We start from the raw sequence: 19,394 nt of genomic DNA, 5'->3' as shown, positions 1-19,394 counted from the left end.
AAAAAATATTTTCAAAGACATCTCCATAAACTTACCTTCTGAAAATTTAGTTAGCATCTTTATACCTAAATGAGGCTCCAAAACTCTGCCTAAAATTACCCTGTCCCTGAAACCCTGTCACTGGCTGAGAGTCTTCAACTCATATGTACAACCTGCAACCAAGATGCTGCCCTAAGGGGAGGTCAGAGAGATTCAAGACTGAGAATCTGACCCAATTTTGCTGGAGGATGGGAGTCATGAGCCATAGAATATATGCTATAGAATATATGTTACCTCCAGAAGCTGAAACTGACTCTCAGTTTATAGCCAGCAAGGAGATAGGAACTCAGTCCTACAGCCATGTGAAACTGAATTCTGTCAATAGCCTCAATGAGCTTGGAAGAGGATTCATTCCCTAGAACCTCAAGAAAAAAATCACAGCCCTGTCAACACTTTGATTTCAGCCTTCAAAACCCACAGCAACCAGCTAAGCCATGCTGTGCACAGACTTCTGATTTACAGAACTTCGTTGTTAAAAGCAATGAATTTGCTTCAGTTTCCGATTTACAGAACTTCATTGTTTAAAGCTTCTTACTTTATGGTAATTTGTTACAGCAACATTAGGAAAGTAATACAATGGTGGTTCCAGTACTATCACCAAATTGCCTTCTTTTCCTCTCCCCACCAGCCTGCTGTTAGGAACTCAGGAAAGTGGAGTCACTCAGCTTTCAATAGACAACACTTTTACATGACATTTCATCACTGAACTGTCATAATTTCTCTATGTATTTTGTCTTCCCCACTAGAATGCAAGGTCTTCAAGCACAGGGACTACAGATGTCTTTTTATCCTTTTTTTCCATTACCCAAGTAATGTATATATCGATTATAGAAAACTTAGGAAAAAAGAGATAAGTATAAAATTAAAACCATCCATAATTCAACAGCTAATCACACTGTTGACATTTTCATGTCATTCTATACTTTTCTATGTACATGTATATTTTTACATTTATAAATAAAATCATGCTGTACATACTGGTTTGCAATTCATTTTTCCCTTAATAATGTTATGCATATATTGCATGCTATGGACATACTTCTACAGCATCATTTTTACTGACTCCACAGTATCTAAGACCGGGCCAGGACCTCCCATTGTAACCTTTCTCATGGCCTTCCCATTATAACCTCTCATACCCTTACACCTCTCTCTTCAAAACGCTTCCTATAGCTATAATAATTTGTGATTGTATGATGATTTTATTGTTGTCTCCACAAAACTGTAATTCCCATGAGATAAAAAAAAAAGTATGTTTATTTTGCTCAAGACTATAATCTCAAGTGCCTAACTCAAAGAAGATGGCCAGGAAACAGAGTTCACAAATGAATGAATGAATGAATTTAACCAAACGCTTTTTTCAACCACTTAGGTCGCTTGTTATTTTAGTATTCGTAATAGTGGTCTGTAGGACACAGCTGATTTTCCATAAATATTTGCTGAGGGCTAAATAAAATAATAAACATAATTTTCAAAAAAGGTGAAGGATAGTCACTCAGTAAACAGCAATATGATTTAAGTCATCACGAGGAAGAGAAGTCCTAGTCACATAATGAAACACTGTACAAGTGCTTAGCTGATAAGAGGATCTTCCATGCAAATATTTTAGCATATTTTATCTATATTTTTCTAGTTCTTTTTCAAACAGGAACAGGTATGCACAGTCGATAAGATTCAGTAACTCTTTAAAAAGTCTTCAAAAGAGGCATGTTTTACATGCTAATTAAAGAATAATATTCTCCCTAAAATAGATGGTTATGTGGTATAGTATAGGCCCAGAAAGTTTGGCAATCATTTAAAGTGTGAGCACAGTTTTCATATTGGTACAATCCCCTAAATAATCCTCTGCATAAGTTAATATGTGATCACGGGGTAGACTGAACCAGAGACACTAAAGATACAGGACTATGACTTTAAAGAAGGTGATCAGTGGCCACTAAAGTCCTATTCTGTATATGTGTAGATATTGCAAATATGGAGTTTCCTTAAAATAAGACCACTGTTTATTAAACAATCAATTATCTTACTTAAAAAAACCCTACTATCAATTTGAAGCTAAGTATTTTTCAGTAAATATTGAAAACATACAAATGGTAAAAAAAAAAAAAAAACAAACAAAAAAACGCAGTTCATCATCACAATTCATATTCTTTATTTGACAGAGAAAGAAATAGACAAAATTGCCTTCAAATTACTCAAAGCCTTCCTAGATTGTATAAGGGCTTTGGTGCCTTTCAAAGTTTTTTTAATGTGAATGGGGACTCGTCAAGTTCCCCTAAAAATTTCTTTCATCTTTAAACGTTAGGAGGGAGAAACTCCCAAAGCAAAAAAGGTGGGAAACTGGAATTACCATACAGCTCACCAGATCTATTTTAGTGTATGATGCGAAGAGCACCGACTGAGGGTGAGAATTGAGTGCTGGTCTGTCTCCATCAAGTCACTCATGTTTCCTAGACTCAGTTTCTTCACCTGTAATATGATCTCAAGGATTGTTTTAGCACATACATTTTAAACTTTGAGTATCTTGCCAATGAGAACAATTAAGAGAAAGAAGTAAAACTCACACTCTGATTCTGTTTTTACTAGGTAATCTGGTAAAGATTATGCAGGAAATTGAAAAGAGCTCAAATAAAATGCACCCCCTATAGATTTTACTCATACATAGATGCTATCATCCTCCGCAGACCTCTAGTTCTTTACAACCTGTTAATACAGATTATCTGACATTGGAGAGGCATTTTAGGGCAATGGAGACTTTATCAGTGACTGGGACTTTAAATGCCTTCCTTGGAAGAAAGACAAGAAGATAAAAAAGAAAATTAGATTTGTGCAAAAATATATGTTTAAAACCTCTATGGAATAATTGATACTGATGTGTGAGATACACTGGGAAAACTTCTTGGAGTAACAAAGAAAGTAGACACTAAGCTCTGTGTTAGGACTGTTTGAAGAATGAGGGAAAAGTTCTAATAATGACTTAATACTTATGTCAAAAAGATTAAGAGCAGTTCCTTACTTACTGTCACCCAGTTTTACAATGATGGCCTATGCTTACTAAGAGCTACCACCACTTTGCCATATCTTCTCCCATCTCAGGCACCCAGCACATGGGAGCATCTTTGATAGAAGCACAACATCCCTGCCCTCACCCCAATCTTCTCCCCAGAGGCAAACAAAGCTAGACCTTTTGTCCCAGCTCAGTCCACACACTCACTAATTCAGGCATCTTGCAACTAAACAGGACCATTTCTGCTCTGTCCAAATTGATATGGAAGACAGCGAGCTTCCTCTCTGGCAATAATAACAATATTAGTAATAAGGCTGGGCGCAGTCGTGCACGCCTGTAATCCTAGCACTTTGGGAGGTCGAGGTGGACAGATTGCCTGAGCTCAGGAGTTCGAGACCAGCCTGGGCAACATGGCGAAACCCAGTCTCTACTAAAAATACAAAAAAAAATTAGCCAGGCACGGTGGTGCATGCCTGTGGTCCCAGCTAACTCAGGAGGCTGAGGCAGGAGAATCACTTGAACCCAGGAGGCAGAGGTTGCAGTGAACCAAGATCACGCCATTGCACTCCAGCCTGGGTGACAGAGAAAGACTCTGCCTCCAATAATAATAATAATAATGATAATAATTTTTTATCTAAAATTGACATATATACTCTAAGCCTACTTATATATTATAGACCTAAAGATTGTAGACAATCTAGAATGTGACAGAAAAAGTATGTTTTTGGAATTCCCAATCAGAGTTCAAAATATATTACTACCACCCTGATCCCCACCATCAAAAAAATGGCAGCCAGCAAGGAACAAAGGCCCTCAGTCCAACAGCCCTCAAGGAACTGTATGCTGCCAACAACCACAGGAGCTTAGAAGGGGAACCTCCCCTCACTGAGCCTCAGATGAAATCCCAGCCCTGACCAACAATTTAAGTGCAGCCTTATGAGAGACTCTGTGGCTGAAGACCCAGGTAAGCCACATCCAGATTTCTGACCTACAGAAAGTGATCACAGATGTGTCTTGTTTTAAGCCACTAAGTTTACAGTAATACTGTTACCTAGCAACTGCCAATTAATACAGACAGAGGAGAAACACACAATATAATTAGAGTGCAAACTGAAGGCAGTAGAATAACAAGTATAATATAGGGACGTTCAGGTAATCAAATTAAAGGAAAGCTCACTATGGATAAGGTTAGTTTTGAAACATTTCATACAGAGGTTAGTTATGAGACACATCTTAAGTGTTTCAAGAATTCAGACTGGCAGAAAGGTAGAAGGAACAGCAAAGAGGTAAGAATCAATTGAATGTCCCAGACAATAAGAACATCACACTGAGGAACAGTGGGAGGAGACTGAATAGGTGAAACGGGTCCACATCACAGGAGTCCTGGAAGGGCAGGGCTGAGTGGGCTCTTCTTTGATGCTATAGACAACACCACCAAAGGAAAGGCTCTTGAGGAGGGAAATGACAACATAAGAGCCCTATTTTAAACAACTTAATCTTATCACAGTATAAAGGATGGAGCAGATTAGAGATAAGACGACCAAGAATAGATACGCTAGCACAACAGTCTTCATGAAAGGCTAACAAACATGGGGAAAAAAGGTTCACACTCATTAATAATCAAAGACATGCAAATTAAAACTATAAAACACCATTTTCTGGCTTAAAAAATTAGTAAATAATAAAAACTAATAATACTAGCAAAGATAAAGCAATCTCAAACACTGTTGGTGGGAATATAAATGGAACGGTCTTTATGGAAAGCCATTCAGCAATATGCATTAATAATTTTAAAATATACAAATCCTCAGACTCACTAATTTACTTCTTAAAACATATTCTAAGGAAATAAATTGATTTATCCATTCAACAAGCATTTAAATGTGTGCCTACTATGCTCTAGGCAGTGAACTAGGATCTGAGACATAGCAGCGAATCAAATATATCTCATTTCTTCTCTCATGGCACTTAGAATACACATTTAACAAATAATCAAAAAATAAGTATATAATTACACATATTACAGGATATAATGAGAGTACTTTTGAATATTGGATTTAAATTATGAGAACAAAAAGACCTCTCTGGGAAGTGACATTTATGCTGAGAGCCGAAGGATGAGTAGAGTTTAGCCATGTGCAGATTGGGAGGAATTTTTTTTCTGATAGAAGAAACAATATTCATGAAGTCAAGAAAGAGCTATAGTTGAGATTTTAGAGGACTGATTTGTTGACTTTTTCAACAAATATGTATAAAGGTCTTAGTAAGACCAGCTACTGTACTAGCGGCTGACAGTAAGGAACAGGAGAAAGTGATCAAGGTTAGGCTGAAGTATTAGCAGACAAAACAGGTGTAAAAATACTATATAGCTACACAAGGGCCTACAGTTCATAAGGAAGCAAAGAAGTACGAGGAAATAAGTGTAAAGGAAGGAAACCAATGCATTTTCAGGAGAAAGAAGAGGATGGAATGAAGGTGACAAACACAAAGACTGCTGCTTTTCTGTCTGTTTTCAGATCGAAATATTATAGACTTATCTGAGAAGGGTAAAAAAAAGTCTGTTCATTTTTTTACAAAAACACTTATAGACAGAAATACTTAAGTAGGTTAGCACTAAAAAGGTCATACAGTAAGAGAAGATGAAGTAGAAATCAAAAATAAATTTTAAACATGCGTACATGAATTAAGGAACAGCTACACCTGGGAAACTATTTTCCCTCTGTATGAATGGCTCTTGACTATTCTAAACATTCAGGGAATAGTGACCACTTTTTCAGAATCATAAGTAGCCTCTCTTGGAAGAGGCTGAAAGGTACATAGAATAATCCAAGTATTTGCAGCCTGCTCTACTGAACAGATGAATCACCACAAGGTTAAACATGAAGAGTAGCATTTACACAAACTTTATGGTGAGAACAGGCTTGGAGTCATGGCAAGTTATGAAAGGAGCCATAAAAATGATTCCAATCCCATGTAAGCAGAAGACCTGACGGAGCAGATCCCTTTTCCTCTTATCTCCTCAATTATCTAAATTGTAATATTTTATATTTGATACCTGTCAGCAGCATTAAAGAGTTAAATAATATTTTACAGAGTAGATGCTATCTACAAAAAATAGTACTGTGGAACTCTGTACTATATTTGCAACTTATATGAGTCTAAAGTTATTTCAAAATAAAAATAAAAAAATCGTAGTCTTGCTACAAGAAATAACATACAGTCTAAAATTTGCATTAGTTTCATGAAGCAATCATAAAGAAGAAGAAATGTAACAATTCTTCAAATTGCTAAGAGTCCAACTTTCACTTCTCTCAATGGATACAGGTGCATATCAAGAGAAAAACTCATCTTCTGGGCTGGATATTCTACAGCCCACCAGACATGTGACTTTGGGAAAATTACTTCAATCTTCCAAGCCTCTGTTTCACCTACCTCACAGGGTGGTATCACATGCTAGTTGACTTTGGGATGCCATACAAACACTCATCGCTGTTATTTACAATTTTGTTTATTTAAACTGCATTATCTTATCTTCATTAATGGGAGTAATAACGCTGAGAAATTAACTATTTGGATTTCTTCAGGTTTGTGACATTATCAAATTAATCTTATACTTCCCACTAGGGGCCCAGATTTAACTGACAGATTTATATAATAATAAATACAGTTATTACATACCACCTTCCTGGAAAATGCTTTATAATAGACCTATAACCTTAAAAATGATACCTGCTTAGCCTTTTCCTATAAAGTGCATTAACTGGATTAGTTAGCCTACTACCTTAAAATTAGTTTTGTTAATTCTGAAGAACAAGTTAGATACTTAAAATGCCTAATAAGGTTTCATGGGGCATAAATATATAGTCTGTACAAATATATTAGCATCATACATAAAATATGCTAGATGAAATCTATTTTCCCTACAGGTATTAAAAACAAAATGATAGCCCTTTTGAAGAAAACAGTCAATTAAGTCAGGAATTTCATGAAATCTAAAAGATGAATATTGAGAACCCAAAGCAAATTTTAAAGTCTGACAAAATGTATCTTTTATAAAGTTGGAAACTGATGTATACTTATAAATGATACAACATAAAATATTTTCTATTATGTTAATATTTCAAAATCCATTATCATCCCTCTGTCTCCCATTAAGCATAATCTTAGAGGAAAATATGTTACAGGGTTAAAACTAGTATATAACTTAAAGGCTAAAGAAAAAAAAAGAGTAAAAGAATAACCTTTTCAAATCAAGCCTTTACCCATTAACATGGGTAAAGGTAGACCATTTTAACATGGTAGCTAATTCTGTTTCCTGAAGAATGTTATTTGTAGACCAATAAGAAGAATCATTCAAGGGTTCAGTGAAAAAAAATCAAACACACCAACAGAAGTCACATAAAAATAATATTTGGTAAGATATTATCTTTAAAACAGCAAGAACAGCAGGATTTTCTCTGTGCCTCTTTCAAAGTTTCCATGTGTTCATCATTCAGCAAGTCTACTCACTTCCGCTGGGTGTGGTCCATGCCACTGTTTGGTATTGCTTCCAACTTTGTATTTTTCTGCCCACAGATATTTCCATAGCTGTCGTATCCTGACACTAGTCTTGCTGCTGCACCTGTTGCTATTGAAAAGCCACAAATAAATCCCTAGGAAAGAAACAGAAAAAAACATACAAATAAACCATTTCAATAGCCAACAGTCACTAGTTGATACGATAATGAGCTTCTTTTTGTCTGCTGAAGGGAACAAAGAGCTATCTTTTCTTACTGCAAACACTATTCCACTGTTTTCCTTGGATTGCACATAAACAGTACAAAGAAGTCCATAGGGAAACACTATTTACTACCATAACAAAACAAATCCCAACCTTTACATCATAAGGTCAACTTTGAATTTTATAATAATAATAATAGTAATAATAGCAGCTCCCCTTTACAGAACATCTGCTCTGTGCCAGTTTGTGTACTCTTAATAGGTGCTTGTAGTACGTTATCTCTAATCCTCATGATGAAGAAACTGAGGCGTAGAGATGTTAAACAAGTTATCCAAGGCCATCAAAGCTAGTAAAGATCAGAGCATAGAATCAAACCCAGCTTCCCTCATTCTCTAGTTTCATTTGGTTGTAAAGGGGTTCCGTTAAGTGAACATCAGCAAAGGATGAAAGAAAAAAATTCAAAGAACAATAGGAACGTGGGTTTTGAATCATTATCACTTCAGTGCACCCAATACTTCTGTTTCCTTCCTGCAATAAAGCTGTATACAAGTCAAAGAATTACATCGTGAAGCACTGCCATGCTCTTAATATTGAAGACTGGAGGAGAGTAAGGCACTGGCTTTGTATACTGCAAAGGTCACTTCATTTCATGGGAATATGCTTCATCACAGTACTAAAGGCAAATGGTAGATACTTCAGAAGCACATCATGCTTGCTAAGTCAAGCATGCACTGACCAAAACAAAGCAATAAAAGCCTACGCTTGACAGCAAGCTACTAGCCAGAAGAACAGAAAGTGAATCACTACTGATAAATTGATTGTATTGGTGGGAAAGACTGAGGTTAAGAACTATTCTTGCAATCTGATCGTTAAAAGGTTACATTTTTATTATCTTTAGTAAACTGGCTAAGAAGGCAGAGACTATCATTATTTAATTAATCACAGCCAAGTATCACGAGTAGTACTTATGTAAATAGCCCTGCTAGATCCAAGGCCTACAGTGGAAAATACTATACTCATATGCAATTCCTCAGAGAAAAGTATTTCCCCTTTAAATATACTTACCCAAAAAGGCAAACAAACTGTGTTCTAAATAAGCCCTGTACTTTCATTGTGCAGGTAAGGGAGCTACAAGGAAAGAATAGAGAACATAGCTACAGTCAGTAGAAACTTCGTGAAGCTATACTTCGTAAAAAAGTAGACTGAGAGTAGAGACTAGCCCTGATTTGCTACTCACTAGCTTCAACTTTCTGTCTCAATTTACTCATCTGTAAAATTGAGATAATTGTAGCTCATCAGGCTGTTGTGAGGATTAAATGATGTAATCCAGTAAAGTGGTAAAAAACCTGCCTGGCATATAGTAAGAGCTCAATAAAGTCTTAGCTATTATAGTTGTTAGGTACTATTATTAGAAATGAGAATATGCTATAAGGGAAAGATGGTGGGCTTTGGGGTCAGAAAAGCCTGTGTTGATCAATGGAATACTGATGAGTCCATTTTCTTCTTGGGTGACCTTGGACAAACTTACTTAATTCTGTGCCTCAGTTTGCCATCTATAAGTTAAAGTTAAAACCACTTACCACAAAGGCTGTTATGAGAATTACATGAAATAATACATGTTACATGTAAAGTGCAAGTCTCAATACATGTTAGTCTCCTTCTGCCTCCAAGCAGCACAAACTGCTAGCAGCAGGGTTAGACACAGCTGGTCAGTACTTACTCATTCACACTCACCCTGTTGCCCCTCTCCCCCTCTCCTGACTCCTCCAAGGACACTACAGGGCAGTCAATCCCACCTCAGAACTTCAACCCAATGCTAAGACATAGAAAAAAAATATTTAATCCTCTGCATACATATTTGCATATTTACATGTGTGAATCAGCATACCATTTTAAGCATATCTTTGAATTCCAAATTAGGAAGCCCTGTGCTGAGTAAAAACTGGAAAAGGAGGTTAAGTATTAGGAGGTTTAATAGCTAACCTTTCCAACACATTTTTTTTTTTTTTTTTAAGATGGAGTCTAGCTCTGTCACCCAGGCTGGAACACAGTGGCACGATCTCGGCTCACTGCAACCTCTGCCTTCCAGGTTCAAGCGATTCTCCTGCATCAGCCTCCTGAGCAGCTGGGAGGACAGGCATGCACCACCACATGCAGCTAATTTTTGTATCTTTAGTAGACACAGGGTTTCACCATATTGGCCAGGCTGGTCTCAAACTCCTGACCTCAAGTGATCCATCTGCCTCGGCCTCCCAAAGTGCTGGGATTACATGCGTGAGCCACCGCGTGTGGCCTCCAACACATGTTTTAACAAGAAGACTCAGATTAATGGTAAGGGAATGGACTTCGTATTCAGTAAGACCTGGATTCAAACCCTCACTCTGCCAATTACTAGCTGTGTAATTTTGATCTAATTACATACTTAGACTCTGTTCCCTCCTCATCTCTAATACAGAGTAATACCATCTATTTCACAGCCTAATGATGAGAACTAAATGAAATAATGCATATCCGATCCCTAGCTGAATGTCTGGTACATGGCAGGTGATCAATAAATGGTAGCTGTTAGGGGTGAATTTGAATGGGAAAGTCAGACTAAAGAGGTTAACAACAGTAACTGGACACTAACAAAAACCCCTTTGGTTCTCTATTTTAGAACAAAAATTTCTAGGGGGAACAGTGAGAATGCCAGTAATTTCGTTACCGTACAAAAATATTTTCAGACCACAATTACAATCTTCTTTCACTACTAATCTAAAATAGCAAAGTTGTTAGATAATTAAAAGGTTATGTTCTTCTTTTACTTTTTATAGGAATTTTCTTCTTATGTTTGATAAGTACATTGTGTTACAGATACCTTTAAGTGGTTTCTGATTTCCTTTTCTGACTATTCTTAACTGTACTGTTGGACATGTGGGTTTTTTTCTTTATCATCATAAGCCACCTCACAACCCTCTCGGATGTAGGCAGGGGTATAAATTGTAAATGTTACATATATATGCTAAAATGGGACACTGACATATTTTCACATAGGCCACTTAAACTTCTTAGTAGCTTCCAGAAGCATTAGAGAGGGTGGGAAGCTGCCAGGGGTGGGGGGTGGGCAAGGAGAATAATAAGCTAATAAGATGGGAAAAAACCATGACTATCATCCTAGGGACTTCTCACACGGTACAAGCATTGACAATGGGGAAGTAGGCCAAATATAATTAAAAATACAATCTCTTTAAAAAGAAAAATTCTAAAATCCGAATGTGGGAAGCAATATAGTTTCAGAAAGGAAAAAATGTGGCACATGAAATTAAAGTGGGGTGAGAGAAACTTTACAGAATACACTCCATAATTTAATGGTTCAGCAGAGAGAGAGGGAAAAGGCATTCAACAGAAGGAAAAATCACATTAATGAAGCAAATGATAAGGGCATAAGGAAGGCTTTCATAAGCATGGAGTAGGAAGCAATCTTAGAGAGAAAGTAAGACTATTAGCAAGGAAGAAAACCACGGCTAAAATGTTCAAATGACTGAGCTATGGAAGTGCTTTCAGCACTGCTATTTTAAGAGAGAGAAGAGGAACAGACAAATTTATTCACAAATAGGAGGTGACTTAAATCAGATGAAGGCATACAGGGATGGTGGGTCAGAGGCATGACCTGGCAACTCATAAGTACCAACTGCCTAAGTGGAGAAAGACAATTTACTCATTAATGAACTGTGCTCATTTTCCCTTCATATCACAAGGTCTAGTTGTACCTAAGTAAGGGCTTTTGCTTAGTTTTATTTGCTATTAGTAAAAAAAAAAAAAAAAAAAAAAAAGGACACACTTTTATTTCACAAGCATGTTTGAATTTTACACATAGAGCTTTTACTAAGTAACTGAGCAAAGCAGAAGGACTAAATTTAGTTTTGAAAAAAATGGTCAACAAAAACATGTATAGAGTGGGTGGGAGATGGTGTATGAGTATGGCAAAATGTTTCAAAATAAAAAGGTAGGGAAAAAAGGAGTTCTGCTTAAAGCCCTCTCCTGTGGAATTAATGAAAACATATATTGACTCTCTTTTTCTCAGATACCACCTCCTTCACTTAACCTCTATAAAGCCCGTATCTCATCAGTGCTTGGGCTCGAGCTCATAATAACTGATTTGTAAAATCCTGGAACATTTGCCTTCTGTTTCGCCTCTTTTGAGAACCTTAAGATACAGAGGGCTATTGGGACCCAGCAGATAGGGCAGGATAAAAGGCCTGATGCAGAGTGAGTATTTATGTAAACAAATTAAACAAAATTAATTATAAACTTGTATCAATCTGTCAGATTTCCAGACTTTTAAAAAAATGTAATAGGATGCCTCTCTCTAAGAATGAGGAAAGAAGAAGGAAAAAAAAAGAATGAGGCCAGGAGCAGTGGTTCATCCCTGTAATTCCAGCACTTTGGGAGGCTGAGGTGGGAGAATTACTTGAGGCCAGGAGTTTGAGACCAGCTTGGGCAACATAGTGAGACCCTGTCTCTACAAAAATAAAAATATTAGCCAGACATGGTGGCACATGCCTGTAGTACCAGCTACTCAGGAGGCTGAAGCAGGAGGATTGCTTGAACCCAGGAGTTCAAGACTGCAGTGAGCCATGATCATGCTACTGCACTCCAGCCTGGGCAATAGAGTGAGACCTTGACTCTGAAAAAAAAAAAAAAAAAAAAAAAAAAAAAAAAAAAAAAAAAACGATAGAAAGTCTAGGGAATAACTACTCAATAAGCATTTATTGAGCATATACAAATGCAAGGTTTACCCTAAAAGAATTGAAGTGTCCTCAAGAGGGAAGAAAATAATCAGCATGAGGGAGTGAAATCATAGGCTCAATTTCATGGGCAGCTAAAACAATGAAAAGAACACAGACAAGGAAGACTGAAAACTGACCCTCACTTTGCCATGAACACTCCTTACCATCATGAGCAAGTAACTTTTTATTCCCTGAGCCTCAGTTTCCTTATCATCACAAGGATAGAATTAGATGAATCTCTAAAGCCCTTCCTCTTCAAAACTATTATGATTCTAAGGGAAAGCAGACACAGAGTACAATTTTTAAGAGTATACTTGCAGGGAGAAGTTCACACCTGTTTGGTTTACTACAGTGACTGAGAATAAATAAAGCAAAAGCAGATTAAAAACAAATGAATTTAACTGAACTACATACTTAAAAATGGTTAAAATGGTAAATACTATGTTAGGTACATTAATAAGTAATAATCACAATATTAAAATAAAGAAAGGAAACAGACTTAATAGAAAGTAGCAAGTCATTTGGATCAGGTAACCTTATGGTAATTTTTGGAATGTTGTTGTTCTTATTTCTGTGATCCCAGCAAAGAACAGCCCATCAAACAGGTGTCTAAATACTGCAGTGAATCTCTCACTCTGTTCTGCACGCTCAACAATAGTTAATGAGGTAGAAACATCATGCCCTGGGAAGTAAATCAATGCTATATAAAATAGAAAAGGTCCTTCCTTGAAAGCAGTCTGAAGGGACAAACTATGAGATGATGTCCCCTAAATCCAACTCTATTCCAGATCATTCTCCAAGATTCCAACTTTGCATTTCTAACTGCTTCTCCTTACTCACAAATTCTACATGTCCACAACTCATTTTCTCATTCCACACTTCCCTTTCCTCCATATACTCTATCTCCATTGGTGGCACCACTTATCTACTAGATGGCACACACAAGATATGAAGTGGAAGACTGCAGTCTCCTTTCTCCATGCTTCTGCTCCTCACCCTAGCTTCCTAACAACATACTAAAGGAAGAGGTGATGCCAAGCGATTTGGTCAGAGCCTGAGATACTGATGAGACCACGTTTCACTGGCAAGCAAGGTTACTGGTCCTACAGGTCCATGTTCTGAACAACTTTTTCTGTTGTCCTCAATTCCAGGCAACAGAGTGGGGTCTACCTCTTGAGGCCTCCCCTTCTACCTCTTCTCTTCTGGGTTCAGTGCTGCCACTATGTAATCTTAGACAGTTATTGAGCTTATCTCTATGCCTCTGTTTCCTTCTCTGTAAAATGGGAATGTGATAACAACAATGTATACGTCCTTGAGCAGGTGTGGGAATTAAATGAGTTTCTATATGTCAAGTGCTAAGAACAGTGTCTAGCTCATAGTAAGCAGCAATAACTACTAGGGTAAGTAAGTTGTAGGGGGTCTCTGTATCTTCTGTTTTCCATGGTAAGCACTCTTGTTAGGGCCATCCAGCCTCCTCCCTTCTTGCCTTTTTGTGGTAAGCTAATCTGGGCAGATTTCATCCAGGTAGATCTCCATTCTCTCTTCTTCTCCTTTTCTGACAAATACCTCTCCTTGAGACAGAATGAAGTCAGACCATCCTAGATGGGAAGGAACTTTAGCCTTTTGGGCCCAAGCTTCATTCCACAAGTTATTTTTACCAGGGAGTACCTTATTGGGCATAATCAGGTATCTACTAATAAAGTGGTGCTTTATTTATCCATCCCACTCTTGTTTCCTGATGTGTACAGAAACCGTGGTTGAGAACCCAGGAGGAGCTGGGGTGGGATTTGAGCTGAGAAACCTATCCTGAACCCCTAACACAAGAACCTCTTAGTCATCCTTGATCTGTCTCTCACTTGTCTGCAACACTGATAACACCATTGATAAATGTTACGGATCCTAATTCTTCAATCTCTCTCTTCCTCTCCTTTAGCACTACTTTATTTCAGGTTTTTCACCTCTTATCTGGACCATTACATCAGCCTCCAGAGTGATCTGCCTGAAACCTCTTTCAACCTTCCAAGCCATCTTTAACATTAGCTGCCAGCGCCATCTTTCTAAACCCACTCATATCACTTCTTGCTCAATACTTTTCAGTGGTTTATCTGTGCCTATAATAGTGGGTCTCAACTTTGGCTGAACATCAGGTTTGCAGAGATTATATGAGAATCCCTGAGGTAGGCCTGAGGAATTAGGTTTTTTTTTTTTTTTTAGAAAAGATCCCAGCTAATTCTAGGCTGGGCACAGTGGTTCACACCGGTAATTCCAGCACTTTGGGAGGCCGAGGCATGCAGATCACTTGAGGTCAGGAGTTCGAGACCACCTGGCCAACATGGTGAAACTCCATCTCTATTGAAAATGCAAAAATTAACCAAGAGTGGTGCTGGGTGCCTGAAATCTCAGCTACTCAGGAGGCCGAGGCAGGAAAATTGCTTGAACCTGGGAAGCAGAGGTTGCAGTGAGCCAAGATCGCACCCTGCACTCTAGCCTGAATGACAGAGCAAGACTCTGTCTCAAAAAAAAAGAAAAGAAAAAAAAGAAGAGATCCCAGCTAATTCCAATGTACAGCTAGGGCTAAAAACCACTTGTTTACTGCCTTAATGAAATATACAAATTTATATTTGTATATTTATACAAATGTGCAATGTTACAAGTAATTCTTTGGAGCAGAGTTAAGTATATGCCCAGTAATTCCAAAATAGTGATGAAAGTTCAAATGTAGAAGATAGAACTTAAGAAGGCTGACAGCAACTTGCTTTGAAAAACACTCTAAGTTCTAGACAACTCAAGCATTAGAAAAACCTTGAAACTAAGGGAAGAAATAAAAGAGAAGTACAAATATTGATGAAGAGATGAACATGTATAAGATTTAATGGTAGAGATGAGTGAAAGATGACAAGATCTTAGAATATTTAAGAACTAGACCATAGGTATCAAAAAATCAGCAAAAAACTGCAAATAAAGTCAGAGAATAAAGGTATGGTTTGAGTGTCAGGCTGCAAGATTACTAAGAAGAAATAATCTGTAAGAGAAGCAGGCAGCTGGGCCACTCGATTAAAAGGACATAGCCAGAAAGTTCCAGTTCCTATTCTATCTTTGCCACTTATTTCCAGCAGTATATTCTTAGACAAGCTAATATTTAACCTTGCTATACTTTGTCTATAAGCAGGGGATAAAACCTATTTCATTGAAAAAAATTTAAAAGATACATACAGATATATATATATACACGTACTAAAGTGTTGAGCATAGATTAATGCCCAACAAATGTTTGTTAAATGTTTATTTTAAAAGTACTATAGAATGAAATCCAAAGAGAGAGAAATCGTCTAAAAATCGTTTAAAACAAATACTCAGAAGCCAAAAAATGCTGAATCTCTGTTGTGCCAAGGAATAGAACTTTGAGATTTCTTATTTCCACATGGCAAAATACGATGTTAGCTCAATTCCATGAAGGTAGTAATCCATTAAAGGAATCATTCGAAAACAAATAATGCTATGCCAACATTTAAAAGTACACACAGTGGGTCTTAATTACCATCATACTGAAATCAACATTATATTAATTACCATTGCATTAAAATGTTTCAGTAAACAAATAACTCCTTAGTCTCAAGTCACTCCCAAATCAGCCTATTAACATTAATGATTGCACTTTCCTGACCTGTTTTAGCACAGAAAATCCAAAGCACCTCGGGTGGCATGGTACATGTTTTTGTAAACAATTTTGAAAGGTCAGCTGCTATTTGTCCCAGGGTTACATTCAGGGAGTGGGGAAAGGCTGTGGACTAATTCTGTTATCAAAGAATCTTTCTATGGCAGGGTGCGGTGGCTCACGCCTGTAATCCCAGCACTTTGGGAGGCCGAGATGGGTGGATCACCTGAGGTCAGGAGTTTGAGATCAGCCTGGCCAACACGGTGAAACCCCATCTAAAAATTCAAAATTAGCTGGGCGTGGTGGTACATGCCTGTAATCCCAGCTACTTGGGAGGCTGTGTAAGGAGAATCACTTGAACCTGGGAGGTGGAGGTTGCAGTGAGCCGAGATCACACCATGCACTCCAGCATGGGCAACAAGAGCAAAATTCTGTCTCAAAAAAAAAAAAAAATTTTTTTTCTCCACACGCTGCATAAACATTCATGCATGTTATATTTCAGCTGCCATTCCATTAAACTAAGTAAACTTTTGAGCAATATCTTTTAAGTCATTAAGTTAGGAGATGAGTATTTTGACCTTTCCTAAATATCCTAAATTTGGTGAAACGGTGCTTTTATCTTTAAAATAAACACTCCTTATTTTACTGGATTTATCGTATCTCATTAAAATGTATTGCTTTCTTTTCCTTTTCTCAGAGGCAGAACTGGTACCTACAATTGTGCCTATTAGCCAAGATGACAGTTGTTCTGTGATTCACAAATGGCGCTGGCCTGGTGGGCAGTCAGAGGAGACAAAGAGCAAGATTTTCATAAAGAAACTCTATAAAAGGTATAGTAAGAAGGGGGTTAAAAATACACATGAGTAGGAACAAGGCTGCCTGAGGTAGTGTAATTGCATTTTGAATTGTAGAAGACTAAGAAAGAGAGAGCAATAATGTATCTGCAGAGTCCCCTTGAGGAAGAGGAAATGGGGTGTTAGAAAACAGCATTGATCTGGAAGTGAACAGACCTGGGCTCTGTTCTCAGCTCTGTCATGAACTAGCAGTGTGGCCTTGGGATAGTAATTTCCATCTCTGAGTTTGATGTTTTTAATCTGTAAAATAAGGGCGATGGACTAGATGAGGATTTCCATGTCCTTTCTACTTCTAAATATCAGACCGCTTTAAAAATAGCAGTTTTCTATGTTTTTTCCAGCCCAGCACACTGGCAGGGACTCTAATGCCACTGAAGTCTGTGTCAGAAACTCCTGTAGGGCAGAGTGAGTATGCAATTGAATGTGCACATCCTTAATACCTTATACCAGCAACTCTGCTCCTCCATTCTCTATACCCACTGGAAAATCACCAGGTCCCTTGATCTCTAATTGAAAGATGCCACTCATTACAGCAGACACAGCAGGCAGCAGGGGCCGTTGGAAAACCACCAGGTCCCTTCATCTCCAATCGAAAGATGCCACTCATTACAGCAGACACAGAAGGCAGCAGGGGCCTAGGACAGGCAGAAGGAGGAAGGAGCAGTGAGCAACCAGCCTCCCATCTAGGAAGAACTGTGGAACACCAAGTCCCTGAGAGGAAATGACTGCCCTAAAGATAACCAACAAGTTGGTGTGACTGGGTTGGGTGAATATGCAGGGCTCATGACTCATGGTCACTGTTTTGCTCACCACTCTATCAAGATCAACATTCAGAGACTTACGTCAAATGATTTGCTTTCTGAAATGGTCTATTGAATGGCATATGAGTCCCAGCTGCTCCTTAATTTGAGCTCAGTTTTCATGTAGAAAAACAAATCAAGAGTGACACAAAATACCACTGAATTGTATGAGGACTGGTATATTCCACAACTGCCCTCATTAAAACAACTACTCGTCATTCCCTTGGATCATGAGTCCAGTTTGGACCATCTGTGAGAGTTTCCTTACCATCCCAATGCAGAAGAGGATGAAGAGCAGCAGCCATGGTATGTCTGTGCAGCTACGGTCCTCCAGCGGCTTCCATTCTCGTTTGGAGCTCTAATTGGAAATACAAAATAAGAGAGTGTTAAATGCTAAGTTTAGTTAAAGTTAGAAGGGCACAAATACACCAGCTATAGCTAGAGCCCTTCTTTGCCAAACAAGTTTCTATTGAACCTTTAAGACACAACTCAAATATTTGTCACCTTTTCTGTGACGTTTATGCTAACCCCCACAGCTAATAACTCCACTGGCCCTACTCCCACCCCTCTTCCTGGCCAGGCCCGGTACTGAGTTCATCGCTTTTTTGGTACCTGTATTAGAGTTTTTAGCAGGCTAAATTGTCATTCTTATTTGTTATGCTGTGTCCCAGCAGACTGTGAGTGTCATAAGGAAGAGACCAGGCTTATTTCTCGGCATCTAACATGATGCCTGAGGGTTCATAATATGTACTCAGTGAGGGCTTTTTAAAAATGAATAAATAAATGAATACACTCTTCCAACTTCACTCTTAATGCTAGCTTTTTCTTTGTGTGTCCAGATGCTAAACTTAAAAAAAAAGTTAGAATGTGCTGTTTATATATATGTTCTCTTCTAGGAAAGATGCCCATCAAAATGGATTCCTATTCAGGCCGGGCCCAGTGGCTCACATCTGTAATCCCAGCACTTTGGGAGGCCGAGGCGGGCAGATCACCTGAGGTCAGGAGTTTGAGACCAGCCTGGCCAACATGGCGAAACCCCGTCTCTACTAAAAATACAAACATTAGCTGGGCGTGGTGGTGGGCTGTAATTCCAGCTACTCGGGAGGCTGAGGCAGGAGAACCGCTTGAATTCAAGAGGCGGAGGTTGCAGTGAGCCAAGATCGTGCCACTGCACTCCAGCCTGGGCAACAAGAGCAAAACTCCATCTCAAAAACAAACAAACAACAACAACAACAACAACAAAAACGGGATTCCTATTCAGGGGTAGATTTATCTAAGTCAAAAAAAAATTCAGTTTCTATAGACAGATCTGTGCAGCTCCTAAACAATCCATGCATTTTCATCTTGTTCCTAGAAAATGTTAGTTTCTAGATCAAACACAGAGAATCCTGAACTACAGAACTAGCGGCATTCTAAAAGTTAACTTGCAAAGTATTGACTGGAATTCCAACTGCATTTTTTTTTTTCTTATTTCAATAGTCTTAGGATCTCGGGTCAGCTCACAAATCCCTTTTAATGGAAATCTAACTGAAATAACCCCCCTGAGCTTT

General features: G+C 38.1%; 1 protein-coding gene across 8 annotated transcripts in view, besides 1 other annotated feature; it reads right to left on the bottom strand.

Moving 5' to 3' along the window:
- SLC44A1 (solute carrier family 44 member 1) overlaps positions 1-19,394 on the bottom strand; it is a 193,854-nt gene that overhangs the window by 121,083 nt on the left and 53,377 nt on the right. For 7 of the 8 annotated variants that reach the window (NM_001330731.2, NM_080546.5, NM_001286730.2 and 4 more), the window contains exons 2-3: positions 18,113-18,202; positions 7,556-7,698 (exon numbers count right to left, since the gene is read on the bottom strand). In NM_001330731.2, coding sequence (NP_001317660.1) covers positions 7,556-7,698; positions 18,113-18,202 — 233 coding nt within the window. Of the gene's footprint in view, positions 1-7,555; positions 7,699-17,484; positions 17,750-18,112; positions 18,203-19,394 lie in introns of those variants that run through there. The other variant, XM_047423117.1, reaches the window with a different exon arrangement.
- Positions 17,247-18,446: an enhancer, noted in NCBI's record as "CDK7 strongly-dependent group 2 enhancer chr9:108061257-108062456 (GRCh37/hg19 assembly coordinates)". NCBI's record gives its function as "activates an origin of replication core promoter dependent on BRD2, BRD4, P300/CBP, MED14 and CDK7 cofactors, with strong dependence on CDK7, by STARR-seq in HCT116 cells {active_cell/tissue: HCT116}" and the evidence as "EXISTENCE:reporter gene assay evidence [ECO:0000049][PMID:35650434]".

Source organism: Homo sapiens, chromosome 9 (genome assembly GCF_000001405.40).
Source record: "Homo sapiens chromosome 9, GRCh38.p14 Primary Assembly".
In the NCBI taxonomy this organism is placed as follows: domain Eukaryota; kingdom Metazoa; phylum Chordata; class Mammalia; order Primates; family Hominidae; genus Homo; species Homo sapiens.
The sequence above is the reverse complement of the archived record's forward strand: the minus strand, read 5'-3'. Positions and strand labels throughout refer to the sequence as shown.